A 12,024-nucleotide genomic window follows, 5' to 3' on the forward strand; every position below is an offset into this window, starting at 1 on the left:
TGCTTCATTTCTCTGCTTTTTCTTGTGTATGTAAATTCAAATTATTCCCAAATCTGTACGTATAGGTCAGAGAAACTTTTGCAAATAAATCCTTTTGGAACCAACACTTCTCTGTTTTCTAATGGAGGGCCATATAGCACCTCACATATCAACAAGCAAAAGGGCAGAGTCCTATCCAGGCAGGGACATCCTGTTCCCCCATCTTGCAGCCTGTGGATCAGGGATGATGGCAGAGGCCTTCCCCCCTTGGGGACTTGACAGAAGCTGTCATCCAGTAGGCAGGCACACAATTCACCTGTGGCTTGTTCATTATCATCAGACGTGTTGACAGGCATGGGGCCTGGAAAGGAGGCACAGCAGTCTTTCCATGCCAGCTGGTGAAAGGATGAGAGGCTCCATCTCACAGCAGGAGTGAGTCATGGTGCCAGCGTCATAGACAGGCATAAGTATTCCAAGTCATGGACAGAAAGTCCCTCAATGCCTGTGGACTCTTTTGCAGGGCCTCCTTGTGTGGGGAGGGACTTGCAGAATGGGATTAGAAATTGTAGACTGGTCTGTAGTGTTGGACTGAAATATGATGTGATTAGCTGGTGACCCGAAGTCCCAGAGGAATCAGGCATCTTAATGAGCTCACATCAGTTTAAGGAAAACAGTCTATGGTTTTGTAGGTAAGCAGTGCAGTCCATATTTTTGTTGTCGTTTGTCCTTCTCACTAAGCCATGAAAGGAATGTGTGGCTTTCTTTCAAAATGTGTATAGCTGGGCATGCCAGCTCACACCTGTGATCCCAGCATTTTTGGGAGGCCATGGCTGGAGAATCACTTGAGACCAGGAGTTTGAGACCAGCCTGGACAACATGGCGAGACCTGTCCCTACACATACACAAACATTAGCCAGGCTTGCTGGGGCACACTTATAGTCCTAGCAACTAGTGAGGCTGAGGTGCGAGGATTGTTTGAGCCCAGGAGTTCAAGGTTACAGTGAGCTATGATCATGCCACTGCACTCCAGCCTGGGTAATAGAGCAAGACCCTGCCTTAAAAACAAACAAACAAAAATGTGTAGACATACATATGCACTTCATCTCAGGAATCCTTCGTTGACTACAACTGAGTAAAAGGAATGTATGTTTAAGATACAATAAAGTCCATTCTCGGAACACTTACTGAATCTCTGAAAATCATGGATTTTTCATGTTGTGAAACATAGGTCAGGGGAGGGCACCCCTAAAAGACCTCACATAACCATAGGGAAAAACTGTATGGTTTTTATTGCACTGTGGTTATAGTTTCAAGGTTTTAGACTGCAAGACTCTAAAATGTGATTACTTCCCTTAGCATTGAGCAGGAGAGCTTGTTGATTCCAAATCAACACAGAGTGAGTGTGCGTGGGTATATTCTGCTCGGAAGTCAATTCCTTCATTCATCAGCTGATAATGAAAACAAAATACTTTGTTTCTGGAAGGGGGGGGATCTATGGAGCCATATATCCAAGAGATGTCAAGAGGCCCCAGTTCATTAAAACTATGAGGAATGAGGTGCCAGAATGAGGCTGGAACCATTTAAGATTAGTGGCTGGGATCAAAGGTCTGTGATGAAGTCTTGGGAATTGTCAGCAGCTGATGTAGGCACAAGGATGAAAGAAAGATTATTTCATGATGCTAAGGTTTTCATTTTCTGGTTATAAATCAGTATTTGTTTATGTCAGTTTACCTTAATGGGAACATTTAGTCACATAAGATATTTTAATATAATTTATTACTGCCCCAAGTCGAAAACACCAAGAGATACAAGACCCTGCAGGGAAGGAATCCCTGCTTAGAGTGCAGATGGCCAGTTCCATGCTCAGGACTGCCAGCTGCTGCTGGACGCCTCTAGTCTTTTCTTCTCTTTCTCTGTTGATACATTTAGGGATCCCAAAAGGCGATCCCTTGCTTAAACTTATATCCCTAGCTACTTGCCTTCTGTCCTGCTCTGTCGTTTTCTTGCTCAAGTCTTCAAGCCTGTGTTTGAAGACCCCACTCTTTCACCCATTTATTCCCTTCTTCAATCCCTGAAATTCCCACCACCACCTCTGGATGGGACCTGCACTTTCAAAAGCTTCTCTGATCTCCTTCTCTCTCCTCTTCTTCCTCCTCTCTCTGTCTCTCACTTCCCCCAACTTTCTCCCCTCTACTCTTTGCCTGCCCTCTCTCCCCAATTCGAATTCAGTGGTTTGATTGACCTCTCATTCTTTCCAGCCCTTGTTTGATCTTGGACTTTTTTTTTTTTAGACGGAGTTTTGCTCGTGCTGCCCAGGCTGGAGTGCAATGGCGTGATCTTGGCTCACCACAACCTCCACCTCCCAGGTTCAAGCAAATCTCCTCTCTCAGCTTCCCGAGTAGCTGGGTTTGCTGTCATGCGCCACTATGTCTGGCTAATTTTGTATTCTTAGTAGAGATGGGGTTTCTCCATGTTGGTCAGGCTGGTCTCAAACTCCTGACCTCAGGTGATCCGCCCACCTCAGCCTCCCAAAGCGCTGGGATTACAGGCGTGAGCCACCGCACCTGGCCCTCACGTCTCTATCTTTAGCTCTCTTTCTTCTCCCCCATCTCCTCTGCAGACCCTTCATTTACTCTATGACGCCATCCAAATCGTCATCTCCAGTGTTACTTTCTTATGTGACTACAGTCAATTCAGCTAAACTCAACACAGATTGGGCGCCAACCCCTGTGCCCAGCTGCTTATGAGATCGCTCTCACTATCTGTCCTGGTGGTGCTGTGGGCTGCAAATGCCCAGTGCTTAGTATCTTCCCTCCTAAATGACCTCCCTTCCCATAGGTCCCCTATCTGTCATCACTCATCCTGCTTCCTGTCTTTGAAGTGAAAAACCCTACCGTTTGATTCTTTCCTATTCCTCAGTTATAATATCCAAGCTGTCAGGTTTCTGACTTCAACAGCCCTCTTTGGTATAGCCTTTCTTTGCCCCGTCCCCAACTGCGATATTCATTTGGTTTCTTTCCTTTTGGCAGAGATTTCCATGTCTCCTGTAACAGTGCTCCTTCTACTGCTTCTTCCTGCACCAGGGCAATCTTTCATCTCCCACACCTATCCCTCCTCCTAGCATTGCAGCAGCCTGTAGCAGCATCTATAAGCTCTCCAGAGAACTCACAAGTCTTCCTGTCCAGGCTGCAGGATACAGCAGAGTCCGAGTGGCCAGGATTTGAAGCCTAATTCTGTGCCACAGTTTACCGAAGGCTTGCATGTGTATTCCTACCACATTGTCCTCCTAATAGCCCTGTGCAGTATAACGAGCAAAGGAACAGATGAATTAACCACAGATAATGAAACAAGAGTTTAGGCTGGTTCAATGCTTGCCCAAGGTTTAAGAGCTGATGACTGGTAGAAGCAGGACTCACATCACTCAAGTCTCAGGGGCAGAGCCCAGAGTTCCCTTGTATCTTTCAGAAACTAAACAATGATCGTTTTGTTTTGCTGAAATCTCCCAGTGGACCCTCACTGTCAGTGAAACCAAGTCTAATTTTATTAACCTGGCTCTCAAGATGGAACCCTCATGGTCTGGTTCCAAGTTACTTCTCTAGATTTATTTCCTGGAAAAATAAACTTATATACTGGATTCATGTACCACACTCCAGGAAAAGGTACCCCCTACAACTCATAGCTGATCCCCAGCTTCAACCTATTTTATAGTCAATTCTCCTTGCAGCAGCCAGAGTTGTCCTTCAGTAACGTGAATGAGCTCATGCTTTGCTCTACATTCTCAAGATAAAATCCCAAGTCATTACTGTGGTGCACCAAGCCCCGTATGATCTGGCCCTGAGGGTCTCTTTAACCTCATCTCTATAATTCACCTGCTTGGTAACTTGCCACGTTGGTTCATTTGTGTTCATTGGATACACTCTGCTGTTCCCTCTGCAGGCCCTTTAAGAGTGCTAGTCGCTCCACCTGTGGTGCTACATCCCCCAACACCTGCATGGTGGCCCCTGTCACTTCCAGAAGATTTTTGTTTGTTAGAAGGGCTTCCCTGATGACCCTCTTAAAAATATGTCCTTTGTCACTCTCTGCCCCTTATCCTGCTTTTATTTATTTATTTGTTTTTTTTTTTTTTTTTTTTTTGAGACACAGTCTCACTCTGCTGCCCACGCTGGAGTGCAGTGGCATGATCTCAGCTCACTGCAACCTCCACCTCCTGGGTCCAAGCAACTCTCATGCCTCAGCCTCCCGAGTAGCTGGGATTACAGGCGTGCACCACCACACCTGGCTAACTTTTGTATTTTTAGTAGAGATAGGGTTTCATCATGTTGGTCAGGATGGTCTAGAACTCCTGGACTCAAGTGATCTGCATGCTTCGGTCTCCCAAAGTGCTGGAATTATAGGCGTCAGCCACTGCACCTGGCCAGCTTTAATTTTATTTTCAGTGCCTAACAGCACCTGGCATATTATGGTATTTGTTTCGTGTCTTTCTCCTGCTATTAAAGCACAAGCTCCTTGAGGGCAGGGACTTTGTGTGCTCAGTTTATTCCTGGATTCCTAACACTGAGAACCATGCCTGCTGCACAGTAGCAAACATTTCCCAAACGAATCAGTTCATCAGTAAAAACAAGGCTGCTTGTTGTTTGGTGTCTCTACATTATTACCTATGCTGTCCTTTCTGCCTGGAATTTGTGGAACGTCCACTTTGCACCAGATCCTGCAAAAGACCTCAATGCTGTACTCTCTCTGCCTATTACTACCCAATTCACTGCACAGCTAAAATGTCATATTTTCCTGACCATCTCCAATCACTTCATCTGCTAGTGGTCTACTCTTGTCTACACCCCAATAGCCATGTCTTTGCATCCCTTTTATGACATTTATTGCCCCCTATCTGTAGTGAGGTTATTTGTGTACCAGATCCAATTCTCATTGTATTTGGGACAGTGCCTGGCACAGACTTTAACACATAGTATTTGAATAGAGTAGTATTTAGAGATACACTATGAGAGCATAATTGTGTATTCAATTCAATGTATAAATAGAAAAGTAAATATAAGTGGAAAAGCCTAGAATAGGTGCAAGAGTGTAAGTAACAAAAGGAAGAGAAAAATGGAGGAAAAACCCAAGAGGAGCAGAGATTTATTATCCTTCCAGAAAACACACATCCTTCTTTAGGTTAATCCCTTTCCATGAGAAAATGGCCTGGAGAAGATGACTGGTTAATTTCAGACACCCTTGACTTCCATTTGTCTATTGGAAGTCAGCTGGATGGCTGTGGGAGCTGGAGGGGCGGAGATAAGGACAGATGGCTATCACTGCTTGCAGTCTTCCGAGGGAGGAGCCGGTCCTGCCTGGGCCTACAGTTGTCAGCACTTTCCCCCGCTGGCCCTGCTGACACTGTTCTGACACCCTGTGCACCACCAGAAAGTTCACTGACCCTTCACAAGCAGGGGTCATAGGTCCATTTCCCAGCGTCATCAGGAATCACTCCAGGCTGTGCACTGACCCAGCTCAGGGAGCAGTGGCCAGCGATGTCAGCCAGCAGGAGCAGGGCAGGGCCCCAGGCAGGGGGGCTGGGGGCAATCTCAGACGAAATCAAAACCTTCATTGCAAAGTCCTGGGTGGTGGCTTCTGAGGAGAACATAAGAAACAGGAGGAGGGAGCAGTGGTAGAGGGGCCTCTCTGCAAGGGGTGCTGGAGGCGACTGCAGTGAGGTGTTTCCTGGTGAGTGGGTCAGATCAGCTCACACAGTGGGGATGAGCTCACAGAGAGTGGGCTGAGAGCAGACCAGGAGTGCACAGGTGGCTGCCCTGTCAGCCTTTTCCGGGAGTGGTGGTGGCGCTTGCAACAACTGCTCTGGCTTTGTCCCCTGCTGACCCAGTGCCAGCAGTCTTCTGCATTTACCCCAAGTTCATCTGCACCCCTTTCTTCCCCAGCCTTACCCCTCGCTCCCTTCCACGAGAGGCAGTATGAATAGACACTAAGTGTGGCATCCAAAAAGCCTCAAGCTCTGAAGAAGAGCCATATAACCCCCCTGCACCTTGATTTCTCCATCTGTAGAATGAGTAGGAGAATACTTACCTGCTCTATGCCTCAAATGAAATGCTTATGAAAAATTGCTACTAAACCATCATGCATACGGTACTCATGTTAGTTTTCTTTAGCCTCCCAGCTTATTTATTTCTTGTCTTCCTCATCTTTGCTTACCTGCCCCTTTACAAATCTGCTGTAATATGGGCAAATCATATTTGTAAAAATGCAATTAAGACAAATATAAAGGTTCAACCCCTGAAAAGAGGTAGCTTTGTGCTTATGTGTATAAACCAAAACCAAAATCTTATTTTTGTTCAAAATTTCAGGGCATTACAGATATTTTGCTTTAGGACATAAAAATATTACTTACAACTGATTGAAACAGGTCACACTAATTTTGTGTCAGATCGCCTTTGTTGGGTGCAGGAGATGATGTTTCTTCAACAGATCTAAGCACCGTGGGTGGCTTTTACTAAAGTGGGGTCCGAGGTTGCTTCGTGAGGTGATTCTAAGTGCGAGTGGGAATTGTTCTAGACCAGCTTTACACCTCCTGCCCCCCAAATTTCTCTCTCTTGCCTACTTGTGATCCCTAAAATGTCACCATCAATTAAATAAGGCAAGAGTACCAGGCTAGAATGACAAGCAATGTTCTCTCATGGACATGATTTAACTCTAGCTCATGTCCAACTTAGAACAACTTTCTAGAAGATAGTACAGAAGAGAACAACTATTTATGCATCTGACACAGAAGAGGGAGTGGTTAAAAGATTTTTGTGAACAAAAAGAGGAAGGAAGCAGTTAGACACTGCTTCTGGCCTCAAAGAGTTTCTGAGGTTCGAAGGGGCGCGCTTACTCATGCTTACTCCAGAGTCGGGCTTCTGTCTGGTGTGGGCTTCCCTGGACAGGTACAGTAAGAGTGCCTTACCTGGCCAGCCAAGAAGACAACAGAGGGTGCTGGACATCTGCGTGGGGGAGATGGGTGGGAGAGGTGGAGTCACCTCAAAGGAGGAGAAAGCACTGCCGTGTAAGGCGGGATGTTCTCTAATGCTATCACCACATATGGCTGAACTTGGTCTGTATGTATTAGATAGACAAGTAGGAGGTGCCATCTCCTATTTATTGTGTCCTACTATAATAAAAAAAAACCAGGCTGGGCACGGTGGCTCATGCCTGTAATCACAACACTTTGGGAGGCCAAGGCAGGCAGATCACCTGAGGTCAGGAGTTCGAGACCAGCCTGGCCAACGTGGTGAAACCCTATCTCTATTAAAAATATAAAAATTAGCCAGGTATGGTGGTGCATGCCTGTAATCCCAGCTACTCAGAAGGCTGAGGCGGGAGAATCAGCCTTGAACCTGGGAGGCAGAGGTTGCAGTGAGCCAAGATCACACAATTGCACTCCAGCCTGGACAACAGAGTGAGATTCTGACTCAAAAACAAAACAACAACAACAACAAAACCCAGCTACCTTTTCTTGCATACGTACTCTGTGTCAAGTACTATTCAAAGTCCTTTACATTTAAGCCTTACAGCAACTCTTTGAGGGAGGTCTATTTGCTCTTCCCATTTCACAGATGAGAAAACGGAAGCCTGGAGCCATTAAAGTAGCTGCTGCAGGGCTCTCAGCAAGTAGATAACAGAACCAAGATTTGAACCCAGGCCCTTGGACTCCAGGGGTTCACTCTCTTAGCCAGAAGCTGAGTCCCCTGTGCTGTGGTTTACGTAAGGCCCACAGAATGGTCCCTCTTCTCGGACACTGACACAGCCAGAACTACATCCTGACCCATCTTGTGCTCACCTGCCAGCCCCCGGGATACCGCATGGCTGCGGCTCATTTCTCTTTCATTCTCCCAAAGGCCACAGATGTTTTAGGGAGTGCCCACAGCAAGGAGCTGGCCAGGGGGGACTGGCTTCTCCACTCCCCTCCATCCTGAGATAGGAGCAGTCCTTAAAACCACCAATGGGGAAGGGCCAGCAGGACCCAGTGGCCCTGTGCCCAGAACCAGGCCCTTCTGACCCTCCCAGGGAGGCACACAGGGTGACAATTCATCACACCAAGGCTTTCCAACAGCTGCTTCTCTTCAGACATATGCACCTGTGCACATACACATGTGCCCACACATGCAGACATGCACACACACATAAACACACATGCACGCACCCAGGGAACAGAGTCATGTAGTGACTCAGCCTCTCCCCCAGTGTCTACACGAGGAAGATGGAAGGTGTTCCTTTGTGCTGACGTGACTGAACCGCTCATCTCTGTATAATTTATGGGCCTCCGTTCCCTCTTGCACTGGAAAGGTAGGCTCCCCTCCCACCTTCTACTCAGGGCCCTGGCGCTGTGGAGAATGAGGCTTCCTCTCAGTTTTGAGATATAGTGAATGCAAAGAAGAGGCCGGGCTTGCATGCTCCTCGAGATGCTCAAGTAGGTAGAAGCTGTCAACCTGGAGGCTAGGGGCCCACGGTCCTTCCCTGACTTTGGTAATTATCTGAGTCCCTAAGATGAGCTCCAGGAGAATAGGGGCAATCTTTTGTCCATTTTTACATCTCCAAATCCTGGAATAAGGACTGGCGTATGGGAAGGAGGAAGGATGGATGGATGAGTCACGCACCACCCTGCCTTCACGGGGCTTACACTCTCTCCCCGTGGAGACAGGAGGAGGAGACAAGGGCACTTCTCACGAGACATGGGGGGCCCTCAGGTGGTGAGGGGGGTTGGACCACAAAGAAAGGACATCTGGTGGGCAGGCTAAGGGAGACTAAACATTCTTGGAGACAGCATTAGAGGTGGCCGTGCAGGACTGGTAGGATTACCTTAGGCAGAGGAACAGGCGTGAACAAGACCTGCTGCAGGAAAGCATGCGAACGTTCTGGAAACAGGAGGAACTTTCCTTTGGCTGGAGTACGAGGTGCACACAGAAGAACGACAGGACCCGGAGAAAGTGCGGTGTTGGGGCTGGGCTGGGAGGAGGGTGTGGCCAGGCTGGCGCAGGAAGCAGGAAGGCCGGGGTGAAGGGGTCTCCCTGCCTTCTGTGTTTTGCCTCCTGCCTTTCTCCTCTGGTTCCGAGAATCAATTCCTCTGTGCGAAGTGGATGAGGGGACTTTCCTAGCCTCCGATCTGCACTTGCAACTAGACTGAGTGGAGCCTGGGACAATGGCTTTCCGCTCAGAACCAGAAATCAGGCTCCAGGAAGGCACTCTCCTAGAGGAGGGAGAGAAGGTATTGTTACCTATTTGTGGAAAGACTCCGTGGGGATTGTTACCATCCTAATGACATCAAACTTCAGTGGGCTGCTCTCTTTTGTTAATGGCATAATCCTTTGTTCAGAACACACACACTGCACCCCCAGAACCTGAATGATTCAACTGGATGCGTAAGTGGGGAATGCGAAGTGTAAGAATCACTGGCAAGACCGCAGAGGATTCTGGGAATAAGGCCATTTAGTACAAACTATTCGCCAAGTAAAATATTAAAATGTTACAAATAAGGCCAAAGTCCCCTTTGACGGACCCCTGCTCCAGCCTCGGCCCTCCCCACATCCTCCCCCATCCTCTCTATCGAGTGGACCTTCAATATCAGTCTGTCGTCTATACTTCCAGAATTTATTTCCATATATTTACAAATTTAGAAAATGCATACTTGTGGCTGGGCGCGGTGGCTCACGCCTGTAATCCCAGCACTTTGGAAAGCCAAGGCCAGCGGATCACTTGAGGTCAGGAATTCGAGACCAGCCTAGCCAACATGGTGAAACCCCCGTCTCTACTAAAAATACAAAAATTAGCCAGGCATGGTGGTGCATGCCTGTAATCCCAGCTACTCAGGAGGCTGAGGCAGGAGGATCAGGAGGATCTGAACCCTGGAGGTGGAGGTTGCAGTAAGCCAAGATCACATCACTCCACTCCAGCATTGCACTTGTATTTTTGTACACCTAAATGTATTGCTTATGTGGTTTTGAACTTGTTTTAAAAGCCGGAGGACAGAAAATGAAGAGAACACAGAGTACCTGATGAAGTGGAAATAAGAAGCTCCTGTTTGCATTTTCCTTCCATGCTCAGGAAGATGTGGAAAGAGAAAGTTACACTTTTATTTTCCTGCTTGGATGCCTTAGTGCCTTCTGGAAATCTCTGCTAGATCAACCCTCCTCACACAATCATTCGCAAGTCTACCAGGAATACGTAGACGGAGAAATGCAAGCATGGTAGGCTGTCACCCATTCTGCTCAGCCAGAGGTGGATACCCACCACCCCCTCATACTACCAGAAGGACACTGGCTACTGGGGCCTCCTGACACTTGCATCTACCTTTTCAATTTAAAAAACACGAAACTGTATCCCTCAACCCAAGGATGTGGGAATTCATCCCATAGCTTGCTCAGATCTCTAGTTCTATAGACATTGTGCAAGTTCTCTTGCATTCTTTTAACTCAAAATTCCAGGAAACACAGAGCCTTGCAGATAGAGGCTTTCCACTGAGAAAGAGACAAGCAAGCTGCTTAGATAATTCATAGACTGGAAAAGTCAAGGTGAATTATTAATAAACTTAGCAATAAAGAAGATTTCTGGCTGGCCAGGGTGGCTCATGCCTGTAACCCTGGCACTTTGGGATGCCAAGGCGGGTGGATCGCTTTAGGTCAGGAGTTCGAGACCTGCCTGGCCAACATGGCAAAACCCTGTCTCTCCTAAAAATACAAAAATTAGATGGGTGTGGTGGCACGTGCCTGTGATCCCAGCTACTTAGGAGGCTGGGGCAGGAGAATTGCTTGAACCTGGGAGGCAGAGGTTGCAGTGAGCCGAGATCACGCCACTGCACTCCAGCCTGGGTGACAGAGCTGAACTCCGTCACAAAAAAAAAAAAAAAAAAAAAAAAGTTTCTTCTCTCAGATGATAAAGGACACCTTTTGAGCAGATGAAGTCTTAAGTGTTAACTCCCATGCTGTGAAACTGAGAAAGTTAGACTGCATTTTCATGTCACCTGTTACCAAGGATCAGCTCTCACTCTGGGTGAATTAAGCACTGATTCTTTTTCTGCTTCCTAAAGTGACACAACTGATTTAACCTAATAAGTGATCATTTCATTAGGGCAAACTAAGGCCATGTCATCCTCCTCTGATAATTTGTCTTCCTTTTTATTTCCATGTGGCACTTAGAGGCCATGTTGGTCATTATCAAACATTGCAAAAATTTCTTCTGCCTTCATTGTAAAGACAAATTATAAATTGCTTTGGGGTCAGGTTTTATGAAGATGATGAACGCCTCTAATGGGTTCCAGGTGCTTCTTTTCCACTAGCCATGAGGCCGTCCACAGGTTATTGCACAGATATTATCACAGCTTGGTAATATTGATAGGACAGCTGTGCCTAATGTTTTCCTTCTGCCACCTCTTTTTTTTGTTTTTTGTTTTTTAGCTAGTCTCACTCTGTCTCCCAGAGTGGAGTGCAGTGGCGCAATCTTGGATCACTGCAACCTCAGCCTCCTGGGTTCAAGCAATTCTCCTGCCTCAGCCTCCTGAGTAGCTGGGACTACAGGCACGTGCCACCATGCCCAGCTAATTTTTTGTATTTTTCATAGAGACAGGGTTTCACTGTGTTAGCCAGGCTGGTCTCGAACTCCTGACCTCGTGATCTACCTGCCTCGGCCTCCCAAAGTGTTGGGAGTATAGGCATGAGCCTCTGTGCCCAGCCCTCTACCACCTCTTTTAAAGGATTTCCATTGACATCTGGAGGTCTTAGATGCTGAGATTTTCTATACGAAAGAAAAATGAATTTGCCTTCCAACTTTCCTCAAAGATTTTATTTCTGGAATGATTTTTATAATCCTCAAGAGCAATTTTCTCCACTGTCTTTCTATGCCATGAAGTGACACATCTCTGCCTGCCACCAAGCATGGTTCCTCAGCAATACATTGAGTCATGCCTGGTGACAGTATCCCCAAGGCCTGCCAAAGGCACTGTTGGCTTTGGACGCCAGACGGCTCTTGGCTCCTGGAGCTACTCTTTTACATGCCAGTGAGTGCAAG

At 47.1% G+C, this 12,024-nt stretch overlaps 1 long non-coding RNA gene across 1 annotated transcript; it reads right to left on the bottom strand.

Annotated features, from left to right (window-relative positions):
* Positions 1 to 5,083: 5,083 nt before the first annotated feature.
* LOC124901429 (uncharacterized) lies at positions 5,084 to 9,202 on the bottom strand. Its single transcript, XR_007059810.1, has 2 exons — positions 8,824 to 9,202; positions 5,084 to 5,604 (listed from the first exon to the last, which is right to left on the bottom strand). It is a non-coding gene; the product is annotated as an uncharacterized LOC124901429 (long non-coding RNA).
* Between the last annotated feature and the right edge of the window lie 2,822 nt (positions 9,203 to 12,024).

The sequence above is a fragment of the Homo sapiens genome, chromosome 6 (genome assembly GCF_000001405.40).
Source record: "Homo sapiens chromosome 6, GRCh38.p14 Primary Assembly".
Classification (NCBI taxonomy): Eukaryota; Metazoa; Chordata; class Mammalia; order Primates; family Hominidae; genus Homo; species Homo sapiens.